The sequence below is a fragment of the Homo sapiens genome, chromosome 5 (genome assembly GCF_000001405.40).
Source record: "Homo sapiens chromosome 5, GRCh38.p14 Primary Assembly".
NCBI lineage: Eukaryota > Metazoa > Chordata > Mammalia > Primates > Hominidae > Homo > Homo sapiens.
Window position 1 is genome coordinate 132,628,762 of NC_000005.10, and position 27,501 is coordinate 132,656,262.

Sequence of the window (27,501 nt, forward strand, 5' to 3'; positions counted from 1 at the left end):
GCCTGAACCCGGGAGGCGGAGGTTGCAGTGAGCCAAGATCGTGCCATTGTACTCCAGCCTGGGCAACAAGAGAAAAAAACTGTCTCAGAAAAAAAAAAGAAAAAGAAATGGAGACAGAGAATATAGATAATTCTTATAACAACTTCTCCTGTGACGGGGAGCAAGAAAAATGGGGCAATGGTTAGAGTGGACCAGGGACCAAGTTAAATAGGCAGGTTGGTTTTGTTTTCAATTTTACTTGTAAGTATTTTGCTGCAAGGTCAGCTCTTCTCTTACAGCCCATTGACCTGCAGACCTGGGGTTTCATATGTATTCACTGAATAGAAAAACATACGTAGGAGCTCTCCAGCTATCCCTGCATACCCTGAGAACCAGTGGCAGCAGGAATAAGAATTCCCTTCACTTCCAAGATTAGGCTATAAGAGAAAAAATAAAAAAGAATTCAACAACCCTTGCTCTGCCACTTTCTTGTCAGGCTCTGGGAAAACAGGAATATCTTTCCCTGTCCCTCCTCCAAACTGCTGACAGTCTGTCTGATGGAGACCTTGGTAGGTGCTCCATAGTCTGTTTTTGACCTGGGCCTGGGATAAGAAGGAAGGGCTTTTCAGCAGAGAAAAGTGCCTCAGTCACAGAGGCATGCTGAGCAGAATGAGGACCTATGAGGGAGCTTGGTGGAGCCTGGCGGGGTGGAGAGGTACAGGAGTGCTTTCTAGCAATTTAGGCTTGTTAAGGAACAAAGCCAGGCTGTTTACTGAGTTCTCTTACCTGGTACTCAGATGGATTCTTCTAAATGAAAAGAGGTGATACAAATTTCCCCAAAATTGAGTCTTTGTGGCTTATGCTCGCAAACAGTGGCCTTCTCAAGATTTATACGGTGAGCCCTAAATTTGCCTTCTCACCCAGAAGAAAGTAAGGTACAAAATTTCCCTCATTCTTTCACGTCTTAGAATAAAGCATGCAGTCAGTGTAATTGTTGCGTTCAGCTGTCTATTTAAGGTAACACAGGAAGTCAGCAGTGCATTTTCAAGAAAAGCTGATTACCATCTGTTATTAGTAATCATCTAAAAACATCACTAAGTATAAGCATTGGCAGTGGTCAGAGACACATAGATGAAAAGGGGGAAATTATCCATCATTTGGAATGTATTACCCCATACTAATACAATATACCAATTTAAATGATGTTAGAATATATCACTCAAGATATGGTGTTCTACCCCATGCCCAAAATGTTCTACTCTCATTTTTCCCCAGATGTGGAAGGTTGCATATTAGGTAATACTTTTTTTTTTTTTTTTGAGACAGAGTTTCGCTCTTTTTGCCCAGGCTGGACTCCAATGGTGCGATCTCAGCTCACTGCCATCTCCACCTCCCGGGTTCAAGCAATTCTTCTGCCTCGGCCTCCCAAGTAGCTGGGATTACAGGCGCCTGCCACCACACCCGGCTAATTTTTTGTATTTTTAGTAGAGACGGGGTTTCACCATGTTGGCCAGGATGGTCTTGATCTCTTGACCTTGTGATCCACCTGCCTTGGCCTCCCAAAGTGCTGGGATTACAAGCATGAGCCACGCACCTGGCCAGGTCATGCTTCTTTTAAGACTCATTGTAAACACGTAACCTTTACAGTTTTGCATCCAAGGTAGCCAGCTTTCTGTGAGGCTCTTCAGAGCCTGGGTCCCTGCATTCGAGGGGAGCTTCAGATGAGGGCTTTATTCAGGGCTCACCTTAGAGTCACCATCTCTATCATGACCATGGATGCAGTAAGGTTTCACAGTAGCTCCTGCAACCTCAAGAGGGTAGATTACAAAACCCAAAGATAGCCAGTGGTGTTTCACACCTAAACAAATGTTTATCTTGCCATAGTGATTGAACCATAGGCTGAATTGTAAAAGCTGATGTTTGGGAGTCTAGCTAAAGAAAACTAAGTTAATAGGTTTAAAGAAGCAAGAGCTGGAAGGGTCTTCTCCTGGAAGGTGAGATATTGGTCTGTGGGGTGTCCAAGGGAGAGAATCCAGTCATGGGTTCTTAGCTTCTCTTTCTGGTTGGACCAGTAAAGCCTCTTCCTCATCCCTCTTTTCTGCTCATCACTAGAGACAAAACTAAAAACCATGGCTTCAGTCTGCTAAAAGCCTAGAACAAAACAGAACAACAAAATAAGGCAGGCTGGACAAGCTTGTTAAGACTTTCATGGATTACCAGAAATATAAATGCCATTAAAGCCATCATTTTTCCTCATAAAATGCAATCGATTGTTACTGAAATTTTTAATGAAATCTTTCAGACTCTTAATGAGTATTTAAATATCAGACTAAAGTAATTTATAAATCATTATTTTCTGAGCTCCGAGAGAGTCTCACTTTTTTTTTTTTTTTTTTTTAAGACAGAGTCTGGCTCTGTCACCCAGGCTGGAGTTCATTCTTGCAAACTCGGCTCACTGTAACCTCCACCTCCCAGGTTCAAGCGATCCTCCTGCCTCAGCCTCCCAAATAGCTGGGATTACAGGTGCCCACCACCACACCGGCTAATTTTTGTATTTTTAGTAGAGATAGAGTTTTACCATGTTGGCCAGGGTGGTCTCTAACATCTGACCTCAAGTGATTTACCCACCTTGGCCTCCCAAAGTGCTGGGATTACAGGCGTGAGCCACCTCACCTGGCCTCTCACTTTAAGAGCCAGTTTTCACAAAGAAATCATACTACTTCGCATGAGTTAGTATATGCATTTAACTGAGAGATGTGCATACTCCAGGCAGGTGGTGGAGCTGATACACTAGCCAGATGGCTACTTGACCATAACAGTTTGCAGCCCATGAAATTCAAATCTTTGCCTCACCAGACAGTCATGGACTTTCAAGGTCATTCTGTAAGTTATTTGATGTTAAATGCCTGTAAAGTCCAAGTGATAAAAGCGTGTTAAGTTAATTGGGCCACTATATGTCACTCAATAGCTCCTATAGGGTTCTTGTACAGGATCTCACTCTGTCACCCAGGCTGGAGTGCAGTGCTATGATCACAGCTCACTGCAGCCTTGACTTCCTGGGATCAAGCTATCCTCCCACCTTAGCTTCCCAAAGTGCTGGGATTGCAGGTGTGAGCCACCGCACCCAGCCCAGAGCTGCCTTCTTTCCATGGCTTCAGCCTAAGTAACTCTCACCTATTACCGTGGCACCTTTCCCACCTCTTATCTCTTACCGTCCTTCCTACCCCCACCTCCACCCATTATACTTCTGCCAGCTTCATTTTCCTAAAGCTGGTGGTCCCTATTCCCTTCTAATTTTAGGAATGACTTCCATACCTGGGCTTTCCCATTTCAATTCCTACTACCAAGTGTGTTCTAACCAAACAATTTTGTCCCATATTTTCCTGTGCTATCTCTCCCATCCTTGGAATGTTATGTTGATTAAGCCCTTCCCAAACATATGTGATTTTTTTCCTACCTTTGTACTTAATAATATTTTGTACCACTTATACAACTAAAGCCATTCAGCCTTGTATTACAGATATTTGGGCTTCCCCACGCTCCATAACTGCAAACCACAGAACACACTTCAAGGTAGACTTAGGCTCATTTCCATGACAGTGTCTAACTTTGATTCAGCCCTTAAGAATTATTAAGTTGGTGACATATTTTCATTTCCCTCACAATGGCTTTGCACATAGTACACCCAAATACATCTTTTTTGTTCTTTGTAAGCATTATCACAAGGTAGATATTTTTCTGAGTTTTTTTTTCCATTTAACGTGGTGATAATCTTTTACGTTCATATATTCAAGTACCTTGTATTTTTAATGGCTGCATATTCTGTAAAATGCATGATATCTACTTTATTTAACCACTATTGAACATATTAGAAAGCTTTTAAATATGTGCTACTACAGATAATGCTGCAGAGTGTGTCTTTGCACACTAAAGCAGATATGTCAAAAAGACAGCTTCCTAGAAATGGAGTTACTGGCTCAGATGTTATGTATATTTTTTAGTTAATGCCAAATTGCCTTCTAAAAACACTTAGAAAATTTCCACCAATAGTATATGAAAGTGCCCATTCCATGTCTGGATTTTGTTACTGACATTTTATTGGCTGCACAAAAAAAGCTTGCACTTTAATTTACATTTCCCTCTTTACTAGTGAAGTTAAATGTCTTTTTGTATGTTGTCTATTTGTATTTCTTCTCCAAGAATTACCTATTCATATCTCTTTGCCAGTTTTTCTACTAGGTTGTCTGTTTCTTGATTTGTCACATTTTAATAGATTCTAGATGTTAATTATTTTCACATACATTGCAAGTACCTATTCCCAGTTTATCGTTTGTCCATCAATTTTCTTTCGTTTTTTCTTTTTTTTTTTTTTTTTTTTGAGACAGAGTCTAGCTCTGTCGTCCAGGCTGGAGTGCAGTGGCACAATCTCAGCTTACTTCCTTCCGCCTCCATCTCCCGGGTTGAAGCGATTCTCCTGCCTCAGCCTCCCGAGTAGCTGGGACTACAGGCATGTACCACCACGCCTGGCTAATTCTTGTATCTTTAGTAGAGACAGGGTTACACCATGTTGGTCAGGCTGGTCTCAAACTCCTGACCTCAAGTGATCTGCCTGCCTTGGCCTCCTAAAGTGTTGGGATTACAGGTGTGAGCCACCGCACCCAGCTGCCTCAGCTTTCTTTATGGTATCTTTTGTAACTTTTAATTTTTAGGTAGTCAAATCTTTAGTCTTTTGATTTATGGCTTCTCAATTTTGTTCCTTATTTAGAAAGGCTTCCCAATCCTAAAATTATCAAAATGTTTTCATCTGATTGTTTTATTTTACCTTAGCTTTTGTTTTTTGTTTTTTGTTTTTTCAGACAGGGTCTTACTCTGTCACCGAGGCTGGAGTGCAGTGGCATGATCACAGCTTACTGTAGCTTCAACTTCCCGGGCTCAGTTGATCCTCTCACCTCAGCCTCCCAAGTAGCTGGGACTACAGGCACTCACCACCACACCCAGCTAATTTTTAAATTTTTTTGTAGAGATGGGATCTCACTATGTTGCCCAGGCTGGTCTCAAACTCCAGGCTCAAGCAATCCTCCCACCTCAGCTGCCCAAATACTTTAGCTTTTAATCCTTTCATTCATTTGGATTTTATTTTGAGGTTGGATAACGGGTAATAATTTTTTTTTTATCTTTTGTAACACTGTTGAAAACTTTCCAGTTGATTTGAACTGTTGCAGTTATAAACTAACGTTCTATATGCATTTGGGTTTGTTTCTGGATTTTCCTTTGTATACCAACTTTTAAAATTTATTTTTTTTCTTTTGTATTATCTCTTCTATATGAACTTTAGAGTCAGCTTATGGATTCTGTTAAGCATTTTTTAATTTTATTGGGGTTTCTGTTTGGATTGCATTTAATTTATGGATTATTTGAGGAGAACGGACATCTTTGTAATATCACATCTACCATTCTGGACTCCTTAGTATGCATCTCCTGCTCAATCATTTCCTTTTATCCTATTGTAAAGTTTTACAGCTTTTTCCTCTAGCTCCTATACCCTTTTGTTAGACTTATTCCTAGGCATTTTAGGGTTTTTATCGCCACTGTGAATAGGATCCTTTTTTTTTCTATTGCCTTTCCTATTGGTGTTTGCCTCTAGATAATAAAACTTCATTTTTATATATTTATCTCTGGCTATCTCATTAGTCTGAATAATTTTTCAGTTGATTTTCTTGGATTTTCTAAGCATACAATTCTGTCACCTGCAAAAATAATGACAGGCTTTTCTCTCTTTTTTTCATTTCTCATTTCTTTTTAGGTAGGGATTTGAATCGTGAAATCCCTGAATCGTTAGGGATTTCCAGGACCTTATTTTAGAGCAGCCATAATAGGAGGCATCTTTCTCTTCTTAGTTTTAGGAGGAACACTTCTATAGATTTTAAATTAAATTTGATGCTTGCTGTGGATATCTGAGGGAGTCATTTTGTCCAGTTAAGAAAACATTCTTTGATTTTTCACTTAAGATATTTTATCAAAATTCAGTGTTATAGTGTATCAAATGTTTTTATGACATCTATTGAAAAATTATTTTTTTCTTTTTAATCTGCTACTATATTAGTTGAATTATTTTCCCCAGTTTTACTGTTTCTTTCTTGTTGTAAACACTACTTGGTCATGATATATTCTTTTTACTACCCTTACTACTAAATTTCGTTTTATTTAGAATGTTTATATTCATAAGAAAAATAGCCTTGTACTTTTTTCCCCTTATGTTTCTCCTTGCTGTGTCATACCTTATATACTTGGGAGCTAGGTGTGTCTTGAAGATTTGATAACATTCCCTCATAAAACTGAGTCTGGTGGCTTTAAAAGATGGAATTTTGACTGCCTTTTCAATTTTAACTGTCATATTCAAGGGCTGTTAATATCCTAGCCACTTTTCTCTGATCTTGAACAAGTCACTGATTTCATTGAATCTTAGTTTTGTTAATGGTAAATAGAGATAACAGTATCTAATTCCCAGTATTGTCGTAAGGATTAAATGAAATTGATTATTTAGCATAGTTTTGTCTCGCATATGGTAAATGGTCATCAATAATAATCATTATTATCATTGTTATTCCCTTATGTAGATTACTGTAGCGACCTTAGTCATCCCCATCTCTTACACAGTACAGCTGTAAATTCCATAGTAGACAGAGAGGATACGAAGATGAGTTAATGGTCCGTCCCACAGTGGTAGTCATCAACTCCATCCGACACACTCTTTGGTGGGTTGAGACCTCTCCCTGAACTAGATCTTTTTCCCGCAGTGCTGTGTCTCAGCAGACCTGGCCATGGGACAGGATGCACCACCTGTGTTGTATAAGGGAGCCAAGGCAGACTGCACGTGTGCGCCTTGGCCACCCCTGCCTTGTCTGGAGCTTGTTCTCCACATTAGAATGCTTATGTTAGTTTTTGAAGATTTTTAACTTGAATGGAAAGATAACTTTTTTTTAATGTCATTTGAAAAATCAGGATCATGATATATAAGCTATGGAAAGGCAGTCTTTACATGATTGGTCTAACATTCCATCAGTTTTGTTTTGTTTTTAGGAAATACTTAGATGTTTTGTCTCCTTTTGAAAGGAGCATAAAATGTTAGGCTGAGATAAATGTATAAGGTAGAAAATGGAGACTTGTTGCATTCTCATCAACAAGCAGAATATGGTTTTTTCCAGTCTTCTACTACTTCACAGTCCTTCATCTGATATTTAAAATGTATTTATGTTGAGTCATTTCTTTCTCTCTTGCTGGTGAACCAGAAGATCACGAAATGATTCTACAGAGGCAGTAGCATTATATTCAGTTTCTTTTTTTGTATGCATCAGATAAGAGGCCTGCAAATGGAAGTAAGTCGCCTCACATCCTCACATCCTTTGTATGATGATCGCAGTAATGTTTGCCTTTTTACCACTGGTGCAACATTTATTAGTTCATAAACCCGCTTCCAAAGAACCTAAGGGCTTTTTGATGAAAGGTGACTGTGGTGGGAACAATGTTAGGTTTTGACAGGCTACTTTTGCTTTTACAAACATTTCTCCTCTTTGTTTTTAGTGTTTAGAAACTACTACCTTAAAAGAGAGTTGAGGACAGGGACATGTCTGGACTAAGTGGAATTTAGTGCTTAGAGTTAGGATTTGGAATATAAATATGGAAGTTAATATTTAGAATTAGGATTTCTGAATCTGTGAAGGAAAGGTAAAATAAAATTTTGATGTCAGTTCAGCTTAAGCTTCTAAATCATTCTCGCTGAACCAAAGCTTCCAGTTGGTAAAAATCTAAGATCTGAGGAATAAAACCAACATAAGAAGCTGACTTTTGGTAAGCCTTAACAGTGATAGAAGAGGGACAAGGTGGCAGTTCGATTCTCCTATTTTCCCCATAGACTGCAGGCCCCTTGGCTAACCGTAAACCTTCTACCCTTTAACTCCCTGTCGTCCATTCAGCAGGCCTTCCTGTGACCCGTGAGTATCAGTGGAAGCATTCCCTCCAATAAGTTACCACGGCCTAAGAAAAAAGTCTAAAAAATTATGTTTCCTGAAGTTTTCACAGTATTTAAGTATTTACGTAAAGGAGTATTTGTTGTATCCTAGAGAGTGAATATGGAGAAGGGTACCCCTGGAGCACTAGAAATAAGCCTGCCAATTTTCAGTATTAGCCAAGCAGCAAAGTTTTGCTGCTGTTTATTTTTGTAGCTCTTACTATATTCTACTTTTACCATTGAAAATATTGAGGAAGTTATTTATATTTCTATTTTTTATATATTATATATTTTATGTATTTTAATATTACTATTACACATAATTATTTTTTATATATATGAAGTACCAATGACTTCCTTTTCCAGAGCAATAATGAAATTTCACAGTATGAAAATGGAAGAAATCAATAAAATTATACGTGACCTGTGGCGAAGTACCTATCGTGGACAAGGTGAGTACCATGGTGTATCACAAATGCTCTTTCCAAAGCCCTCTCCGCAGCTCTTCCCCTTATGACCTCTCATCATGCCAGCATTACCTCCCTGGACCCCTTTCTAAGCATGTCTTTGAGATTTTCTAAGAATTCTTATCTTGGCAACATCTTGTAGCAAGAAAATGTAAAGTTTTCTGTTCCAGAGCCTAACAGGACTTACATATTTGACTGCAGTAGGCATTATATTTAGCTGATGACATAATAGGTTCTGTCATAGTGTAGATAGGGATAAGCCAAAATGCAATAAGAAAAACCATCCAGAGGAAACTCTTTTTTTTTTCTTTTTCTTTTTTTTTTTTCCAGATGGAGTCTCGCACTTCTCTGTCACCCGGGCTGGAGCGCAGTGGTGCAATCTTGGCTCACTGCAACCTCCACCTCCTGGGTTCAGGTGATTCTCCCACCTCAGCCTCCCGAGTAGTAGCTGGAATTACAGGTGCGCGCTCCCACACCTGGCTAATTTTTTGTATTCTTAGTAGAGATGGGGTTTCACCATGTTGGCCAGGCTGGTCTCAAACTCCTGCCCTCAGGTGATCTGCCCACCTTGGCCTCCCAGTGTTGGGTTTACAGGCGTGAGCCACCGCGCCTGGCCTGGAGGAAACTCTTAACAGGGAAACTAAGAAAGAGTTGAGGCTGAGGAACTGGGGCATCTGGGTTGCTTCTGGCCAGACCACCAGGCTCTTGAATCCTCCCAGCCAGAGAAAGAGTTTCCACACCAGCCATTGTTTTCCTCTGGTAATGTCAGCCTCATCTGTTGTTCCTAGGCTTACTTGATATGTTTGTAAATGACAAAAGGCTACAGAGCATAGGTTCCTCTAAAATATTCTTCTTCCTGTGTCAGATATTGAATACATAGAAATACGGTCTGATGCCGATGAAAATGTATCAGCTTCTGATAAAAGGCGGAATTATAACTACCGAGTGGTGATGCTGAAGGGAGACACAGCCTTGGATATGCGAGGACGATGCAGTGCTGGACAAAAGGCAGGTATCTCAAAAGCCTGGGGAGCCAACTCACCCAAGTAACTGAAAGAGAGAAACAAACATCAGTGCAGTGGAAGCACCCAAGGCTACACCTGAATGGTGGGAAGCTCTTTGCTGCTATATAAAATGAATCAGGCTCAGCTACTATTATTACACTCTCCTGAAGCTAACCAACATTTCCTGCAACATTATGTAGACTTTTAAAAGAAGGGCCTGAAGCATTCTCACAGGATAGGCTAAATGTAGAACAAGAAGCTGAAGACCCGTTAGAGTTTTCATGGCACTCCTTATCAGAATAAGGTCACTGTCTCATCAGTTATAAGACATACCACTATTTTATGTGCCAGCAGGAATGAAAAAATGCAATTATAACCATAAGATGTTTCAGAATCAATGACATAATAGTATTGCAAACCAGATTCTAGCTTAAGCTAGAATGAATATTCCAGTATAGTAAGGAGTCTCATTAAGAAAGTAGCCCCTCATAGAACTAAGTCCCTACCACAGCATACACAAAGACTTAGCTGCTGGGTCAGGCCATCTGGCTTCAGGTAAGGCTCTGTGAGGACAGCCTACATTGGAAATCAGGAAGAGGAATGAAGTTTTAAAGAATCAGGAATATGGCATCCTTGGGGAACAAGGCTGGATCCTTCACTGTGCACAGGTTTGTAACAAAGATGTCACAGATACTTGAGCTTTCTGCTTTCAGATCAAGGCAGAAGATTACACTTGATAACACCTCTAGGCCCTTGACTTTTTTTAAATAAAATTCTAAAATCATAGAAATAGATGCTTACATTATCTAACTCATTTTCATAGTTTGCAGTTTTTGCTTAAAGAACATGCCATGCAGCTGGGCATGGTGTCTCACACCTGTAATCGCAGCACTTTGGAAGGCCGAGGCGGGCAGATCACCTGAGGTCAGGAGTTCGAGACCAGCCTAACATGGTGAAACTCCGTCTCTATTAAAAATACAAAAATTAGCTGGGCATGGTAGCATGTGCCTGTAATCCCAGCTACTCGGGAGGCTGAGGCAGGAGAATTGCTTGAACCTGGGAGGCGGAGGTTGCAGTGAGCCGAGATCGTGCCATTGCACTCCAGCCCAGGCAACAAGAGCGAAACTCCGTCTCAAAAAAAAAAAAAAAAAAGAACATGCCATGCATATATGTATTATGTTGTCAGCCTAGACAGCTGATCCCAATTTAAAGCATCTGCAGATTACTGTCTAAATCATAGTCTACAAAAATGACAAACTTGTGATCTGTAATCAGTATCCCTACGTGCTTTGATGATTTTTAGTGGTAATTATAAATGAGAAAATACAGAGTTTGAAACATGGTCTCTTTGAATTAAAAATACTTTCAAAAATATCTTGAGGAAAAAGATTTTTTGTAGCTATTCTGAGTTATGAAAATTAATTAGCAATAATTGTCTCCTTGGTGTGAGGGGAGAGAACAAATAATGGAGGTGGGCCTCCAGCCTACCTAACACTGGCTTTTGCTGAGGCTCTAGCAGCCAGCCAGGGGCTCTGCATGTGAGTGGGTGGTGGTAGAGTTGACAGCAGTTTGGATTCAAAGACAGGAAGGAAATGCCTGTCCCTCACAGGGCCAAGCTGTGGCCCTGTCTTCTGGCTTGCCTAGGCATTAAAGAAAAGACATAAACTATTCTAAAATTACCAACTCACTGATGTGTGCGCACCCACCCACAAACTGAGGGGGAAAGGGGACTTACAGCTCACACCAGAGTAGTTTATACTTCCTAGAATAGCCCTACTCTCTCAATTCTGTGTGTCTTGTATCCTCAGATGGTTTCAGTGGGTCTGAGGGTTTTAGTATTAGGTTTCTAGTAACCACGAAAATGCCTAACAGTTCCAGTTACTTGGATTTTCTACAGGTAAGCTTAACTGAAACCACATTTCTATACTCCTGATACTTTGACCTAGGATTTTCTTTTTTATTCTCTCAGTCTCAGGATTATACACAAGAATATGGAAATTTAAAGGTAGCAGAGAAAAAGTGAGAGGCTCTAGAAAACGTGTCGAAGTTTTCTAACAGATCCCATTATCAGGCAAATAGCCAGGTCAAGAATTTTTAAGGTTGCTCATCTTACAGGATTATTAAAATTACAGATAAATGGCATTGTCTCTGTTTCTAGCCTTTGGTCTCAAGTTGGTTGTAGCTGATGTAATTTTTTATGTGAGAGCATCAGCGTTGTTCTGAGCATTTTGTTTTGTGGTGAATGATAGGCTGAGATCATGCAGGTTCTCCTTCTGGAGGACATAAGAATCTGGTCCCAGTGCTGGGCTCTCCCAGAGGGCAGTGCTTTACCTAACAGTGAACCTGTGACGTTTCCCACTTTTCCCTGCTGAAAAGATCATGTCAGGACTGCTTGCCTGCCATGAGATGAGAAGGTCTGTGCTGGGCTTCTCACATAGGGGCTTTTTTCCAGGTATTAGCCTCACTCATCATTCGCCTGGCCCTGGCTGAAACGTTCTGCCTCAACTGTGGCATCATTGCCTTGGATGAGCCAACAACAAATCTTGACCGAGAAAACATTGAATCTCTTGCACATGCTCTGGTTGAGTAAGTATCTCTTGCACATGCTCTGGTTGAGTAAGTATCTCACATTTGGGGACAGGTTGTGATAGTTCTTCAAAACCAAGAGAGTTCTGTGATGAAAACGTTCTCTAGCTGTGTTCCCCACTTCTTGGGGAAGCCAGTTGGTGCCAGGCCCTGGGCTTTACCTTTTGATAGTAATTCTTCAGATCCCTCCTAAAGGAACTAGATGGTGAACAGCAGCCCCAGACACATCCTGCAGCTCCCCAAGTGTGTTCACAGGGAGAGAGTCACTGTGAGGGGTTCCTGGCCTGGTTTTCCTGTAAACCTACCAGAGGAACCCACATGTCATGCACAGCAATTAGCATGCCCTGCTAAGACATCTGCAGGTAGTGGTAGTGGGTTTAGGACTGTCTCCCCAGCTTTCCACATGTGTCAGAGAACTGTGAGGAATGACAGAGCTCTTACTCAAAAAGCTTATTTGAGATTAGGTAAAGTCCAGTGAGGGTAAAATTGCACACCTTTTACCACATTCACCTGGGGTCAGTGTAGACGCCAAGGTTGTCAAGCAGCTCTTGCATAAGGACTATGCTGGCAGAGAAAAAGGCAGTTTCCCTGAGGTCAAAGGAGGTGTTTCAGGCACTCCTGGCTCCAGACAGTCCCTTTCTGGCAGAGAGGGCCAGAAGGAGAGCTCAGCAGCGCAGGGCCACCTTTCTGCAGCCATCATCACAAGTAAGGGCGAGTGCTTTTGAAACCTCAAATGCATCCAGCTCCAGGAAGGGGATAAGTGGCTAGCTAAAAGAAAAAGTCTTTCAGGTTTCAGTCACATTGCTGGTTACCTCAGCAAAATGTTCCCAGAACACCCACTCAGGTCCCTGTGTGTCATAGTAATGATGCATCTAGTGACTGGTGGTGGCAGAATTCTAAGTAGACCCAGCTCTTAAGAAAGCAGTGTTATTCCCCTTACCTGTAGTTTGTCTTTATTACTTTTAAATTTTTCTTCCAGAGAAAAGTAGTAACAGGTCAGGAAAATCCCAGGCGAAGGAGTAAGCCTTCTATAGTTGAACAGTTTGGATATTAAGGAAAACTCAATAAAATATTTATACCTGCTTTAGTGAGAACTTCTGATCTGGAAGAAACTAGTTCTTGTATTCCTGTGAGTCCCTAAGCCAGACCTAAGTGAGGAGTCAGGCCATGTGTCCCTACTGTCTGGAGAGGAGAAGAGACTCCTGCCTGGCTGGCCTGAAGGCCTGGGGCCACCCCTCCACTTCCTGCAGGGTAGCTGGGGCCCTGACACACAGCACAAGTTCATGTGTCTGACAAGGTTTGCGGTGACTTTTCAAATCAAAGAAGGGGTTATGCTCTTTACTAATAATATGTTCTGAATATATTGTTGCAGGATAATAAAAAGTCGCTCACAGCAGCGTAACTTCCAGCTTCTGGTAATCACTCATGATGAAGATTTTGTGGAGCTTTTAGGACGTTCTGAATATGTGGAGAAATTCTACAGGATTAAAAAGAACATCGATCAGTGCTCAGAGATTGTGAAATGCAGTGTTAGCTCCCTGGGATTCAATGTTCATTAAAAATATCCAAGATTTAAATGCCATAGAAATGTAGGTCCTCAGAAAGTGTATAATAAGAAACTTATTTCTCATATCAACTTAGTCAATAAGAAAATATATTCTTTCAAAGGAACATTGTGTCTAGGATTTTGGATGTTGAGAGGTTCTAAAATCATGAAACTTGTTTCACTGAAAATTGGACAGATTGCCTGTTTCTGATTTGCTGCTCTTCATCCCATTCCAGGCAGCCTCTGTCAGGCCTTCAGGGTTCAGCAGTACAGCCGAGACTCGACTCTGTGCCTCCCTCCCCAGTGCAAATGCATGCTTCTTCTCAAAGCACTGTTGAGAAGGAGATAATTACTGCCTTGAAAATTTATGGTTTTGGTATTTTTTTAAATCATAGTTAAATGTTACCTCTGAATTTACTTCCTTGCATGTGGTTTGAAAAACTGAGTATTAATATCTGAGGATGACCAGAAATGGTGAGATGTATGTTTGGCTCTGCTTTTAACTTTATAAATCCAGTGACCTCTCTCTCTGGGACTTGGTTTCCCCAACTAAAATTTGAAGTAGTTGAATGGGGTCTCAAAGTTTGACAGGAACCTTAAGTAATCATCTAAGTCAGTACCCACCACCTTCTTCTCCTACATATCCCTTCCAGATGGTCATCCAGACTCAGAGCTCTCTCTACAGAGAGGAAATTCTCCACTGTGCACACCCACCTTTGGAAAGCTCTGACCACTTGAGGCCTGATCTGCCCATCGTGAAGAAGCCTGTAACACTCCTCTGCGTCTATCCTGTGTAGCATACTGGCTTCACCATCAATCCTGATTCCTCTCTAAGTGGGCATTGCCATGTGGAAGGCAAGCCAGGCTCACTCACAGAGTCAAGGCCTGCTCCCTGTAGGGTCCAACCAGACCTGGAAGAACAGGCCTCTCCATTTGCTCTTCAGATGCCACTTCTAAGAAAAGCCTAATCACAGTTTTTCCTGGAATTGCCAGCTGACATCTTGAATCCTTCCATTCCACACAGAATGCAACCAAGTCACACGCTTTTGAATTATGCTTTGTAGAGTTTTGTCATTCAGAGTCAGCCAGGACCATACCGGGTCTTGATTCAGTCACATGGCATGGTTTTGTGCCATCTGTAGCTATAATGAGCATGTTTGCCTAGACAGCTTTTCTCAACTGGGTCCAGAAGAGAATTAAGCCCTAAGGTCCTAAGGCATCTATCTGTGCTAGGTTAAATGGTTGGCCCCCAAAGATAGACAGGTCCTGATTTCTAGAACCCGTGACTGTTACTTTATACAGCAAAGGAAACTTTGCAGATGTGATTAAAGCTAAGGACCTTAAGACAGAGTATCCTGGGGGTGGTGGTGGGGTGGGGGGGGGTCCTAAATGTAATCACGAGTAAGATTAAGAGCAAATCAATTCTAGTCATATATTAAACATCCACAATAACCAAGATATTTTTATCCCAAGAATGCAAGATTTCAGAAAATGAAAAATCTGTTGATAAATCCATCACTATAATAAAACCGAAGGTGAAAAAAATTCTGAAAAAATTCTAGCAGCTATATTTGATAAAATTCAACATCTCCTAGCTTTAGCAAACTCACAGTTTTGCAAATAATATTTTCTTAATGTTATCTGTTGCTAAATCAAAATTAAACAGTCATCTTAACTGCAAAATAAAACATTTCTCAGTAAATATTAAAGCCAGTTACCTTCTATCAACATGTTAATGAAAGTGCTAGTTGTTGCAGCAAAGAATAACAAAGGCAATACACGATCAATATAGGCAGTGAAACAAAAGTATCATTTGCAAGTTAAAACAGACTTCCCAATTTTAAATCTGGTTTCCCCCTGAATATGTGGCATCCTTGGCAGCACTTCTGAGAGTGGCTGCTTTCATTCCAAGAAGCCCATGGGTTTGGAGGTGGGATAGGTGCCTTTCTGGCTTCTCATTGCTGCTTCTAGATCAGTCTCCAAATATCCCCCTTCCCCACATTGGAATGAATAGCCATCACAGCATGGATGGAGGTTAGAATGAGCCAGACTGCCTGGGCTCAAATCCTAGCACACCACTCACTAGCTGGGGACCTTGAGCAAGTTATTTGTCCTGTTTTCTGTTTCCTTATATGTAAAAGTGGGTAAAATGGTACATATTTTGTAGGGTTGTTATGAAGATTGAATGACATTATTTACAAACTGCTTAGAACTGCTTGCCACCTACTAAATACTGTGTAAGTGTTCAAGAAAAAGCTGTCTTCATTTCACTCTTGTTGCAGTTATCTTTCATTCCCAGCTTGGTCACTCCCTCTTATTTGTTGAAGAGTTTAGCTCCCGGTTCAGTGTCACCCCATTACTAATAATCATTGCTGATTTCAATATCCAAGTGATGGTCTAATACAACTCCTTGGCCTCTCAGTCTTTTTTATTTTTTGAGGTGGAGTCTTGCTCTGTCACCCAGGCTGGAGTGCAATGGCACCATCTCAGCTCACTGCAACCTCTGCCTCCCTGATACAAGCAATCCTCCTGCCTCAGCCTCCCAAGTAGCTAGGATTACAGGCATGTACCACCACACCAGGCTAATTTTTGTATTTTAGTAGAGACAGGGTTTCGCCTTGTTGGCCAGGCTGGTCTTGAACGTCTGGCCTCAAGTGATCTGCCTACCTTGGCCTCCCTCAGCCCCTTTTTGTTTCCTCCAGTGAGAAGATACTCAGTTCTATGGTCTTATTCTAGAGCCCCGTCCTTTTAATAACAATAACTGCACCCCTCCAAAATCTCAGTTTTAAGCATCTCACTCTCCAATAACCCCATGGTGTCTACAATTTTCCTGTGGTCCTCAACCCCAGCAATTCTTTGACCCCACTGAGATTTCAATCCATTGATTCTATGGCTTTTTCACAGGTTGTTTCCCTGATGCCTGTACTTCTCTCCTTATTCAACTTAAATTCCATGGCTCATCATTATGTCACCCTCCACTGCATTGTACTCAAACTGTCCCGACAATCCCCAGCCCTACTGGAATCCAGCTCTGCCTCCTCCCTGCAACACCTGCACATCCCGTTTCCTTTGCTGTTTCCTCCTCATTTCCCTGGCCCCTCAATGTCACAGGTTTTAGTACTCAGAGTCTGCACCTCTTTTCTTCTCTGTGCTCACTTATTTGGTGATCTCATCCAGTCTCATAGCTTTAAATTATCTTAGTTTGGGTTCTCCCAGAAGCAGAGCGTAAAACAATGCTTCACGTGAAAGTAATCAGTAGGAAATTGGGGAAATTGTGTATGAAAGAGAAAGCAGCCAATGAAAAGTTTACTATTAAGCCAGCTACGGTAAGTGGGCAATTAGAGTTTGGTGCCCCAGGGAGACTCTGGGGAGTTTGGCAAAATATATACCTCAGAATTATCCCACCTAAGGGGCAAGAGACCTGGAGTATTTATATAACAACTTGCCAGGGTTACTGAGTGAAGGCTATTCTAGCACATGTTAGTTACTGGCTTGCCATGTGTACCGACACAGCTGCTTTCCACAGTTTAAAAAGAAAGTCTGAGCAACATAGTGACATCCCATCTTTACATAAAATTTTTAAAAAATTAGCAAGGCATGGTGGTGCACACCTGTAGTCTCAGCTACTTGGCTGAGATAGGATCCCTGGAGTCTGAGGGTTCAAGGCTGCAGTGAGCTGTGATTTGTGCCACTGCACCCCAGCCTGGGTGGGTGGCAGAGTGAGACCCTGTCTAAAAAGACAAAAAAAAAAAAAAAAAAAAAGCAGCAGCAGCTGAAAGTTGGCAGGAGCACACTGGCAGTTCCTAGGATCATAGGATATAGGCAGGGCACTGACCACTCCTACAACCACCATCTATACACTGATAACTCATAAATGTTTGTGTCCAATCCAGATCTCTCCTAAATGCTTGACTGATATATTCAGCTGCCTGTGGATAACTGGGCATCTATCTGCACTTGAATATCTAATAAACGTCTAAAACTTAAAATGACCAAAACCAGTCTTTCTCCCAGAACTTGAATCTCTTCTGTTAATGGCAACTCCATTATTCCAATTGCTCAGGCAAAAATTGGCATTATCCTTGATTCTTTATCTTACATCTTATATCTAATTCGTCAGTTTAATACTATGGGTTCAATTTTCAAAACATCCGGAATCTGACCATGCCTCACCATTTAAACCAGCAGTCCCCAACCATTTTGGCACCAGAGACCGATTTAGTGGAAGACAATTTTTCCATGGACGGGTGGGGTGAGGGGGATGGTTTCGGGATGAAACTGTTCCATCTCAGATCATCAGGCATTAGTCAGATTCTCATAAGGAGCACGCAACCTAGATCCCTCACGTGCAAATTCACAATAGAGTTTGCACTCCCGTGAGAATCTAATGCCACCACCAATCTGATAGGAGGTAGAGCTCAGGCGGTAATGCTCCCTCACCTGTCACTCACCTCCTGTTGTGCGACTCTGTTCCTAACAGGCTGAGGACAGGTAATGGTCTGCAGCCCGGGGGTTGGGGACCCCTGATCTAAACCATCATTGCTCTGGTCCAAGCCACTGCCATCTCTAACCTGAATAATCTGAGTAACCACGTAACTGCTCCCACTGATTTGGGGCCTGCTCCCTGTAGTTCTCAACACAGCAGCCAGTGATCTTTTTAAAAAGTAACTCAAGAAAATGTGTTTCTCACAGGGGTGTGGGTTAGCAATTTCGAAATTTTTATGTACATACTAAAGTCAAACAAATACATACCTGTGTTGTAGATAATACGAACTGAGTTTCTCACTGTTGGAAAAAGGTGTTTGCATATCAGGAAAGGAGGCCATAAAAAGAACCCCTTGGTGTTGATTGAATCCAAAGGATCTGTACAAATTTATAATTTTAATATCTAAAGGATTTCTACTTCCATAAGGGTGGAGTAAAAGCCATCCAAAATCTGCTTCTTCATAAAAGCAATAAGACTGGCAAAAATGTCAAAATCAACTTTTTCAGAACTTTGGAAATTAACTAATGGATAGCGACAAACTGAGGTGTGTTTATTAAAGGAAAACAGCTGAATCTCAGAGCAGAAAGTGGCATTTTAAGTTGCCCTAATCCCATGCCCTTCTCTCTTAATCCATGGTAACTTGAAAACCAACAGCCCTCTTAGTATCTGTGAAAATCAGCAACCTAGTAGCCACTGGAGGAGACAGAATAGATTTGGAGGTCCCCCAGATCTCCACTACTAGAGAACTGCCTCTATTTGTCTTGTCTGGCAACTCACTGAAAAGCTCCATTTTCAGGACCTATCTTTATTTGACTTAACTCAGAGCTCACTCTGAAAACAGCCCTTCCTGCAGAATAATCAGTGGCAACTGATTAACCCTGTGGCTGCCTGAGGCAGCGTTACCAGGTGGAGCTAACAAAAGGCTGACCAAGAAACTTAAAAGGAAAAATCTGGGAAGAAGATGTCCACGGGAGCTTTGACAAGCTCAAGCATATTCCTGGGAATCTAGAAGTCCATGTGCATGTGCAGGGATGTATGCATGTCCTGAGAGGGTCCTAAGCTCTCATCTCTGACTGACCTTGAAACTCAATTCATGCCAGAAATGAAGATAAAGGCAGTTGTAAACTGTCTGCTGACACATCAATGACATGACTCCACAAATACACACACATGCACACACTTGACAAAAGCTAGAAAATTTATTGGTTCAAGGCATTAGAAAGAAATATCTGTCCAATTATTCGCTTACCCACTAGGCTGAGTAGAGACTTCAGGAACCAAACATGACAAAGCATATAGAATTTGCAGAATTAGTCCAGGAAAGACACAGAACAAACCAACAGCAGCAACAATAAGAAATAGTAACAGGTGCAAGCCCTGGAGAGTAGGTAATCTGACTTCAATAATTGATAGAGTATTTAAAACAAGACACACAAAGAACAGGAACATCTGACCCATGCCATAAACAGCAATTTAAAAAACAGTCAATAGAAACAATCTATGAGGAAGCCCAGATGTTAGACTTACTAGGCAAAGACTTTAGATATCAGCTATTATAAACATGTTCAAGGAACTAACAGAAACAAAGTCTAAAGAATTAAAGGAAATTATGAGAATGATGTTTCACCAAATTATCAGGACTATCAGTAAGGAGACAAACATTATAAAAAAGAATCAAATAGATATTCTGGAGTTGAGAAATACAGTAATGGAAATAAAAATTCACTAGATGGGGGTCAACAGCAAATTTGAACTGGCAGAAGAAAGAATCAGTGAGTTCAAAGACCGGTCAATTGAGATTATACAGTCTGAGGAATAGACAGAAGAATGAAGAAAAATGAAGAGAGCTTCAGAGACCTTTGAGACACTATCAAGTGTACCAAAATGCCAAGTATACCAATCATAATGAGAATCCCAGAAGAGAGAGAGAGAGAAAGGAGCAGAAAGACTATTTGAAGAAATAGTAGCCCAAAACTTCCCAAATTTTATGAAAACATTAATCTTCGTATCCAAGAAATTGAACAAACTCCAAGTAGGGTAAACTCAAAGGGATTCACATTTAGATGCATCATGGTCAAATTGTTGAAAAAGAGATCTCAAACGAAAGAAGCAAGTAAAGCTAAGAAGTGACTTCTCTTAAGAAACAATGCAGGCCTGAAAGCAGTGAGATGACATATTCAAAGTGCTGAATGAAAAAGACTATCAACCAAGAATTATTTTTGCAGTGGTGCAATCATAGCTCACTGTAGCTTCAAACTCCTGGGCTCAAGCAATTCTCTTTCCTCAGCCTCTCAAATAGGACTACCAGCATGTGCCACCACACTCAAAAAAAAAAATTTTTTAAGAGACAGGGGGTCTTGCTGTCTTGCCCAGGCTGGTCTTAAACTCCTAGTCTTAAGCAGTCCTCCCACCTTGGCCTCCCAAAGTGCTGGGATTAAGGTGTGGGCTACTGTGCCCAGCCTCAATCAAGAATTCTGTATCCAGAAAAACTGTCCTTCAAAAACAAGAAATGAAGACACTCCCATATAAACAAACATTGTGATAATCTGTCTTCACCAGACTTGCCCTACAAGAAATATAAAAGGAGAATGAATCCTTTAGGGTAAAATGAAACTAGACTCAAATGCTCATGAATACTCAAATAAAGAGTACTGGTAAAGGTAAATATATAGGTAATATAAAAGTATAAATGTATTTTGGGGGCTGGGAGCAGTGGCTCATGCCTGTAATCCCAACACTTTGAGAGGCCGAGGTGGGCGGATCACCTGAGGTCAGGAGTTTGAGACCAGCCTGCCCAACATGGTGAAACCCTGTCTCTACTAAAAATACAAAAAATCAGCCAGGCGTTGTGGTGGGCGCCTGTAATCCCAGCTACTCAGGAGGCTGAGGCAGGAGAATCTCTTGAACCCAGGAGGCGGAGGTTGCGGTGAGCTGAGATCACGCCACTGCACTCCAGCCTTGGTGACAAGAGCAAAACTCGGTCTCAAAAAAAAAAAAAAAGTATTTTGGGTTGTAACTCTTTTCCTACATGATTGAAAGGGAACTGCATTAAGAATTTTAACACTGTTGATGGGCTTATAATGTATAAAAATATAATTTATATGACAATAATGCTACAAAAGAGAGAGGCAACAGAGCTATATAGGAACTTTTGAAATGGAAATTAAGTTGACATTCATCTAAATTAAGGTGTTCATTTGTAATCCCCAGGGTAACCACTAAGAAAATAATGAAAACTTATAGTGAAAGTAACAAAGTTATTTAAAGAGGGCCCAGTGTGATGACACCCCAGTAATAATGAGGACACCTACTTCCAAGATCTCGATTTTAAAACACGCTCTTCAATAAAAAGAACTCTGGCTCCTTGGTGAAGTGGTTGACTTCAGGGCTGAGGCAAGGAAAATACAAAATGACCCTAGAATTTTTTGTGGTGCCAGAAATTAAGAAAATATTTTTTTTAAAAAAAAAGGTAGAGTTTGTTCAAAGAACACAGAACCCAACCTGAAGTAACTCCCAATGATCAAAGGTAGAACAATTTGAGAAACAAAATAAAGACAGTATTGGATTATAACCGATAGAGTAAAATAAATATTCATGAACTTATGTGGCTATACACAAGTACTTACTTTAAAAAAAATGAGGGACAAGGACAGCACTTCTTTATAGTAGAATTACAAGTAATAAATGTAGAAGGAAAGGGAAAAAGAAAAGTCATCACTAGGCAAATACCACAATAAAAATCATTTCAGACAAGAGTCACTGATGAAGCTAATATTAGTAGGCACAAATCTGAGAAAAAATTTATATAATCTCAAACTATCTTTCCCAATATATTAACTAAAAAGGGAAAGATAGTAATTTTATCATGGAAGAACCTGACAGAAACCATCTTAACCAAGTGGTCAGGGTCAACATCACCAATAAGAAGGCATGTACCTCATGAACCCTGTGACCTGATGCAGTGAGAAGGCCCCAACTTCATCTCTGTGAAAATGTAGAACCTCAGTGCAATTAGGAGAAAACACCAAGGGGACCAAACTGAGGAACATTTGACAGCATAACTCATCAGTATTCCTGGAAAATGTAAGCGTTATGAAAGACAAGACTGAGGAACCATTCAGACTGCAGGAGACCAAAGAGAATTAACTCAATGCACTGTGAGATCCTGGGTTGATCTTGAAACTGAAAAAGGATGTGAATGGAAACACTGGTGAGATTAGAATAGGATCCAGTTTACTTAATAAATCCATGCTCATTTTTCTGTTTTTGATCATTGCACTATGATTATGTAATGTGTTACCATTGGGAGAAGCTGGGTAAGTGGAGGGGATATGGAAACTGTCTGTACTATTTTTGTATCTTTTCCGTAAATATAACGTTAATTCAAATTTTTTTAAAAAAAGAAAAAAGGTAAATTGAGTCATGTCACTCCTCTGCTCAAAACCTCCAGTGGCTCCCTATGTCACTCATCATGAAATCCTCAGTCCTCTCAATGGCTTACAAGTCTCCATATGCTCTGGACATACTTCTCTGACAGTATCTTCTCCCATGCCTCCCCTCACTCCTTCTGGCTTTCCTTGCTAATTCTCAGCACAGTGGGCATTTTCCTGCTTTGGTGCTACTATGGTTTGAGTGTATGTTTCCCTCCAAAATTCATACATTGGAACTTAATCCCCAAGGTGATGCTATTAAGAAGTGGGGCACTTAAAAGGTGATTAGGCCATGGAGGAATGGGATTCATGACCTCATAAAAGGGCTTGAGGGAGAAAGTTCTTCCCTTTGGCTCTTCTACCACATGAGGACACAGCAAGAAGGCACCATCTTGGGAGCAGAGAGCAGCCCTCACCAGACACGAATTCTGCTGGAGCCTTGATCTTGGATTTCCCAACCTCCAGAACTGTAAGCAATAAATTTTTATTATTTATAAATTACTCAGTCTTAGGTGTTCTGTTACAGCAGCATGAACAAAATAAGAAAAGGGCCTTTGCACTTACTTGTGCCTTCAGCTTGGAAATTTCTTCCCCCAAATATCTGCATGGCCACTTCCTCTCATCCTTCAGGTCTCTGCTCAAATAACACCTTCTCAGTGATGCCTTACGTCACCATCCCATATATAATAGTGTACTCACTCATTCTACCTGCCCTCTTTTTTTTCCCTCTCCACTGTACTTTTCACGGTCTAACATACTATATATCATGTGTTTGTTCATTATCTCTACCCACTAGAATGTATCTCTAAGAGGGCAGAGACTGTGCTGTTTTGTTTAGCACCTACACAGTAAGCACTCAATAAACATTTACTTAATGAATGTATGAACTTATCATTGTTATGGGAATTATTTGTAATTATTTGTCTTCCGGGGCTTGGCGCAGAAATGTATTAGATTAAGTAATAGGCCAGGTGCAGTGGCTGATGCCTGTGATTCCAGCACACTGGGAGGCCAAGATAAGAGGATCACTTGAGCACAGGAGTTCAAGACCAACCTGGGCAACAGGATAAGGTTGTTGCTACTATGGTTTGAGTGGTTATGAAGTGGGAGTTTATGTTCATTCCATTGTTTTTACTTGGAATTTATATTTTTAATGCAGAGAATTTATAAAAGAGACAAGCAATAAAAGGCAAACATTTATCTTGCACCTCTTTGATCTGGTATTAGTAAAACCGTGGTAAGTCTAAAGGTTTAACCCTATCTCTACAAAAAAAAATTAAAAATCAGCCAATGTGTGTGGGCATGATGGTGCCCTGTAGTCCCAGCTACGCAGGAAGCTGAGGTGGGAGGATCACTTGAACCCAGGGGTTTGAGACTGCAGTGAGCCGTGTTTGCACCATTGCTCCTCAGCCTGGGTGTCAGAGTGAGACCCCATCTCAAAAAAAATACTAATAAGTAAATAAAATATGTCAGCCAGGCACAGTGGCTCACACCTGTAATCCTAGCACTTCAGGAGTCCAAGGCAGGCAAATTGCTTGAGCCCAAGAGTATGAGACCAGCCTGGGCAACATGGTGAAACCTGGTCTCTACAAAAAATACAAAAATTAGCCAGGTGTGGTGGCTCACCTGTAGTCTCAGCTACTCAGGAGGCTGAGGTGGGAGGATTGCTTGTGCCTGAGAGGCAGAGGTTGCAGTGAGCCAAGATGGTGCCACTGCACTCCAACGTAGGTGACAGAGCAAGGCTCTGTCTCAAAAAAAAAAAAAAGAAAAAGAAAAAAAGTTATTTCCCTTTTATTTTAGGAATAAGGTACTTACCCTGTACATATCCACATACTAGCATGACAGATACCAAAATATTACAATGATTATTATCTCTGGATGCTGGGACTATGGGGCTTTTTATTTTTTTGCATATCTGTACTTTACACAATAACATTTTGTGTAATCTTTTTTTAAATGCAGAATACTGACATTGGAGAATGCTCTTCATATATTTTAAGTGAAAAAGGAGTAAAAACTATATAATGTATTATCTCATTTTTCTAACAAAATGTAAATGTGCATAGCAAAGATACAGAGGTGTTATAGTGCCAGGGAAAAGGGGTGCAAGACTAGTGTTTGCCTCTTATTTCTTGTCTTGTTTATAAATTCTCTACATTAAAAATATAAATTCCAAATGAAAACAATGGAATAAACACAAACTCCCACTTTATAACCAACTAAAATGACAGTAACTGAATTTTCTAAAGTTTTAAACCCACCAAAATGGGAGAAATGGATGACAGCACCAGCGTTTGAAAGGTGGAAAGTGGAGGGACGGTGGGCAGACTACTTGGCTGACCCAAGAAAACTGAATCCTAGGCCAGCTGAGACCTATGTTGATTTACAGAATCCCAAGAATGCTCAGGAACTGGGAGAAGACCAAGGACATCAGAAGAGAAGGGGGTGAAAATAAGGAAAGTTGTTGAAACTCAGTTTAAGAAACAGTTAGATATCCATTTTTGTTCATCAAAGTCGAGTGACTCTCCTGCAGCAGGGTTTTCTCCGGATAGGATATCTGGACCAAGAAACACTAGACACAGTAGAGGGCGGTCGAAATATGCTGAAATCAGGAACAGTCAACAGATGCTGAGGCCCCCACCCCAGCCCTCTCTCCACCCTTGCTGCTGGAATGCTGGAGACAGGGAGAATCTTTTCTGCGCGAGCTGACCTGCCTGCCAAAAAAACGACAAAGAAACTGCCACAGGAGGTTCCCCAAGTGAAAACAGTCAGCCACCTGCCCTATAGGAAACAGCCCCCTCCCACACAATTACCCTCAGAGATCCCTGTTTTAACATGTGCAGGCAATCCAGGATTACCTAACGTGCAAGGAAAGCCTATAAGATGGAAAAAAAATTTTTTTTGAGGCAGGGTCTGGCTCTGTCACCCAGGCTGGAGTGAAGTGGTGTGATCACAACTCACTGCAGCTTCGACTCCTGAGCTCAAGTGATGCTCCCACACAGCCTCCCAAGTAGCTGGGATCACAGGTATGCACAACCATGCCTGGCTAAGTTTTTTTTATGTTTTGTAGAAGTAAAGTCTCCCTATGTTTCCCAGGCTGGTGTCAAACTCCTGGGCTCAAGCGATCGGCCCCCCAAAGTGCTGGAATTACAGGGGTGAGCCACCGCGCCCAGTTCAAAACAATTTTTTAAAGAAAACTTGCAGAAAATAAAGATTATGTATGAAAAAGGAAACTTAGAAGATATCAATGAAACAAGAACATAGTGCTGTTAGCGTGCATGTGCACATGCGCACACACACACAAAGAATCAAATACCCTCAGGAAGATAAAGCTATGAGAATATCCCAGAGAAGAGAAATTTTTTAAATGGAAAATAGAATAAAAAGAAAATTAAAGGACAAGTCCAAGAGGTATATAGTCAAAAAAAATGGCAGTTCCAATAAGAGAGAACAAAGAAGAAAAGTCATAAAATGTCCCAATCTAAGTGTGAATACAAAAATATATTATTTTTATAGTAAGTGAGAAAAACAGGGTGCAAAAGGTGTATATGATGCCACTTCACATGTAGGGACAAGGGAAAATAAGACCATATATTCACAGTTGCTTGTATTTACATAAACTAATAGGATACCAAAAAAAAAAAAAAACAACACCTAAGAAAAATAGTTACTTGTGAGGGAAGGTGGAGATTCCACTGAATTTTTTACATACACAGTTGACCCTTGAACAGCAGGTTCTGAACTGCACAGATCCACTTATCCACGGATTCTCTCCTGCCTCTGCCACCCCTGAGATGACAAGACCGACCCCTCCTCTTCTTCCTCCTCGGCCTGCTCAACGTGAAGACAGTGACGCTGAAGACCTTTGTGATGTTCCACCTCCACTTAATGAATAGGAAATATATTTTTTCCTCCTTCCTTGTGATTTTCTTAACAACCTTTTTTTTTTTTTTTTTTTTTTTTTAAGACGGAGTCTCACACTGTCGCCCAGGCTTAAGTGCAGTGGCGCGATTTCGGCTCACTGCAAGCTCCGCCTCCCGGGTTCACGCCATTCTCCTGCCTCAGCCTCCTGGGTAGCTGGGACTACAGGCGCCCACCACCACGCCCGGCTAATTTTTTTGTATTTTTAGTAGAGACGGGGTTTCACCGTGTTAGCCAGGATGGTCTCAATCTCCTGACCTCGTGATCCGCCCATCTCGGCCTCCCAAAGTGCTGGGATTACAGGCGTGAGCCACCGCGCCCGGCCTATAAACAACCTTTAAAAGACAGTAAGGGACACAGCAGGGCAGTAAGTGCCTCACTCACAAGAGGAGCAGCAATGCCAGAGGCCCATAGAGCACGGATTCCCAGCGCTGCCGTTTTACATAATCAGCCTTCTTGATTTTTAAAATTATCTGCATTCGTAACTTTCCTAAAAATAAAAATCTAAAAAATTAAATCCTTTCACTTACAAAAACAACTCTCTCAGGCCTTACTCCTCCTGACTGGGCATCATGTCTTTGCCAACGGAGACCCAGAGTCCAGAGAAACCCGAAAAAGCAACCCCAGCTTTCCCAGGATGAGCTGGTCGGGAGGAAGGGAGGTCCCAATCCCAGCGCTTCGGGGCCAGAGCAAAGCGAAGAGGCTCCCCATGGCCATAAGCGGGCGGCCCACGCAGCGCATTGCAGGCAGGTGCGAGCCACATGCGCCAAGTGCCCGGAGCGGCCCTTTGGTAGTTAGTGTTAATTAAAATTACCCGCACGGGAGTGGATCCCCGCTGACAATCTAGAAACAAGCAACAGACCCTCTGATGTAGCCATCTGTGCCGCGCCTCTCCGCACCGCCCGCCACGCCTTGGTCCCTGGAGACCACCCTCCAGGGCAGGGGCTGCCGCTCGGCCGGGCCCGCGGGGTCCCTCGGCCTGACATGGCCGGTGCTGGAGCGGCACGTGCGCGCCTCGGCCCCTCGGCCGCTCCCGCCCCTCGCCGGTGCGCACCGGCGCTCGGGGAGCCGCTG

General features: G+C 41.5%; 1 protein-coding gene and 1 long non-coding RNA gene across 4 annotated transcripts in view, besides 13 other annotated features; one reads left to right on the forward strand and one right to left on the reverse strand.

The window, feature by feature from the left end:
- The window catches only part of RAD50 (RAD50 double strand break repair protein), an 89,373-nt gene extending 71,785 nt beyond the window's left edge, over positions 1–17,588 (forward strand). The window contains exons 22-25 of the mRNA NM_005732.4: positions 8,354–8,439; positions 9,320–9,462; positions 11,911–12,044; positions 13,417–17,588. Coding sequence (NP_005723.2) covers positions 8,354–8,439; positions 9,320–9,462; positions 11,911–12,044; positions 13,417–13,603 — 550 coding nt within the window. The 3' untranslated portion in view covers positions 13,604–17,588. The remainder of the gene's footprint in view (positions 1–8,353; positions 8,440–9,319; positions 9,463–11,910; positions 12,045–13,416) is intronic.
- Positions 502–1,807: a DNaseI hypersensitive site, noted in NCBI's record as "RHS5, includes two fragments, also known as RAD50-O; the nucleotide coordinates are approximate for this feature". NCBI's record gives the evidence for it as "COORDINATES:sequence alignment evidence [ECO:0000200][PMID:15589174]", "EXISTENCE:in vivo cleavage assay evidence [ECO:0001075][PMID:22955617]" and "EXISTENCE:manual assertion [ECO:0000218][PMID:24661001]".
- Positions 502–13,434: a locus control region, noted in NCBI's record as "human ortholog of the mouse Th2 locus control region; includes conserved DNase I hypersensitive sites RHS5-RHS7; human LCR activity is inferred from the orthologous mouse region". NCBI's record gives the evidence for it as "EXISTENCE:sequence alignment evidence [ECO:0000200][PMID:15589174, PMID:15507491]".
- Positions 996–1,016: a protein binding site, noted in NCBI's record as "ETS-1-binding site". NCBI's record gives the evidence for it as "EXISTENCE:protein binding evidence [ECO:0000024][PMID:20038639]".
- On the reverse strand, positions 1,828–27,393 carry TH2LCRR (T helper type 2 locus control region associated RNA). Of its 3 annotated transcripts, none has more exons than NR_132124.1 (3): positions 12,985–13,029; positions 9,397–9,504; positions 1,828–2,130 (listed from the first exon to the last, which is right to left on the reverse strand). It is a non-coding gene; the product is annotated as a T helper type 2 locus control region associated RNA (long non-coding RNA). The 3 variants fall into 3 exon arrangements; NR_132125.1 differs by lacking the exons at positions 1,828–2,130; positions 12,985–13,029 and adding exons at positions 13,437–13,521; positions 27,290–27,393 and having other exon boundaries at positions 9,287–9,504; NR_132126.1 differs by lacking the exons at positions 1,828–2,130; positions 12,985–13,029 and adding an exon at positions 26,958–27,131 and having other exon boundaries at positions 9,287–9,504.
- Positions 6,871–8,751: a DNaseI hypersensitive site, noted in NCBI's record as "RHS6, includes two fragments, also known as RAD50-A and RAD50-B; the nucleotide coordinates are approximate for this feature". NCBI's record gives the evidence for it as "COORDINATES:sequence alignment evidence [ECO:0000200][PMID:15589174]", "EXISTENCE:in vivo cleavage assay evidence [ECO:0001075][PMID:22955617]" and "EXISTENCE:manual assertion [ECO:0000218][PMID:24661001]".
- Positions 7,002–7,202: a silencer, noted in NCBI's record as "peak5464 fragment used in MPRA reporter construct". NCBI's record gives its function as "represses an SCP1 promoter by STARR-seq MPRAs in K562 erythroleukemia cells {active_cell/tissue: K562}" and the evidence as "EXISTENCE:reporter gene assay evidence [ECO:0000049][PMID:32103011]".
- Positions 7,372–7,421: an enhancer, noted in NCBI's record as "active region_23088". NCBI's record gives its function as "activates an Ori minimal core promoter by ATAC-STARR-seq in GM12878 lymphoblastoid cells {active_cell/tissue: GM12878}" and the evidence as "EXISTENCE:reporter gene assay evidence [ECO:0000049][PMID:35858748]".
- Positions 10,858–10,937: an enhancer, noted in NCBI's record as "active region_23089". NCBI's record gives its function as "activates an Ori minimal core promoter by ATAC-STARR-seq in GM12878 lymphoblastoid cells {active_cell/tissue: GM12878}" and the evidence as "EXISTENCE:reporter gene assay evidence [ECO:0000049][PMID:35858748]".
- Positions 12,039–13,434: an enhancer, noted in NCBI's record as "RHS7_1396 bp enhancer fragment". NCBI's record gives the evidence for it as "EXISTENCE:reporter gene assay evidence [ECO:0000049][PMID:24661001]".
- Positions 12,259–13,416: a DNaseI hypersensitive site, noted in NCBI's record as "RHS7, also known as RAD50-C; the nucleotide coordinates are approximate for this feature". NCBI's record gives the evidence for it as "COORDINATES:sequence alignment evidence [ECO:0000200][PMID:15589174]", "EXISTENCE:in vivo cleavage assay evidence [ECO:0001075][PMID:22955617]" and "EXISTENCE:manual assertion [ECO:0000218][PMID:24661001]".
- Positions 12,601–12,750: a silencer, noted in NCBI's record as "RHS7_150 bp silencer fragment". NCBI's record gives the evidence for it as "EXISTENCE:reporter gene assay evidence [ECO:0000049][PMID:24661001]".
- Positions 12,657–12,688: a protein binding site, noted in NCBI's record as "SP1-binding rs2240032C_Major fragment". NCBI's record gives the evidence for it as "EXISTENCE:protein binding evidence [ECO:0000024][PMID:24661001]".
- Positions 12,657–12,688: a protein binding site, noted in NCBI's record as "SMAD3-binding rs2240032C_Major fragment; binding is lost in the rs2240032 minor T allele". NCBI's record gives the evidence for it as "EXISTENCE:protein binding evidence [ECO:0000024][PMID:24661001, PMID:24866380]".
- Positions 20,695–20,872: a silencer, noted in NCBI's record as "fragment chr5:131985148-131985325 (GRCh37/hg19 assembly coordinates)". NCBI's record gives its function as "represses an EF-1alpha promoter that drives an FKBP-Casp9 reporter gene in an ReSE screen in K562 erythroleukemia cells {active_cell/tissue: K562}" and the evidence as "EXISTENCE:reporter gene assay evidence [ECO:0000049][PMID:32094911]".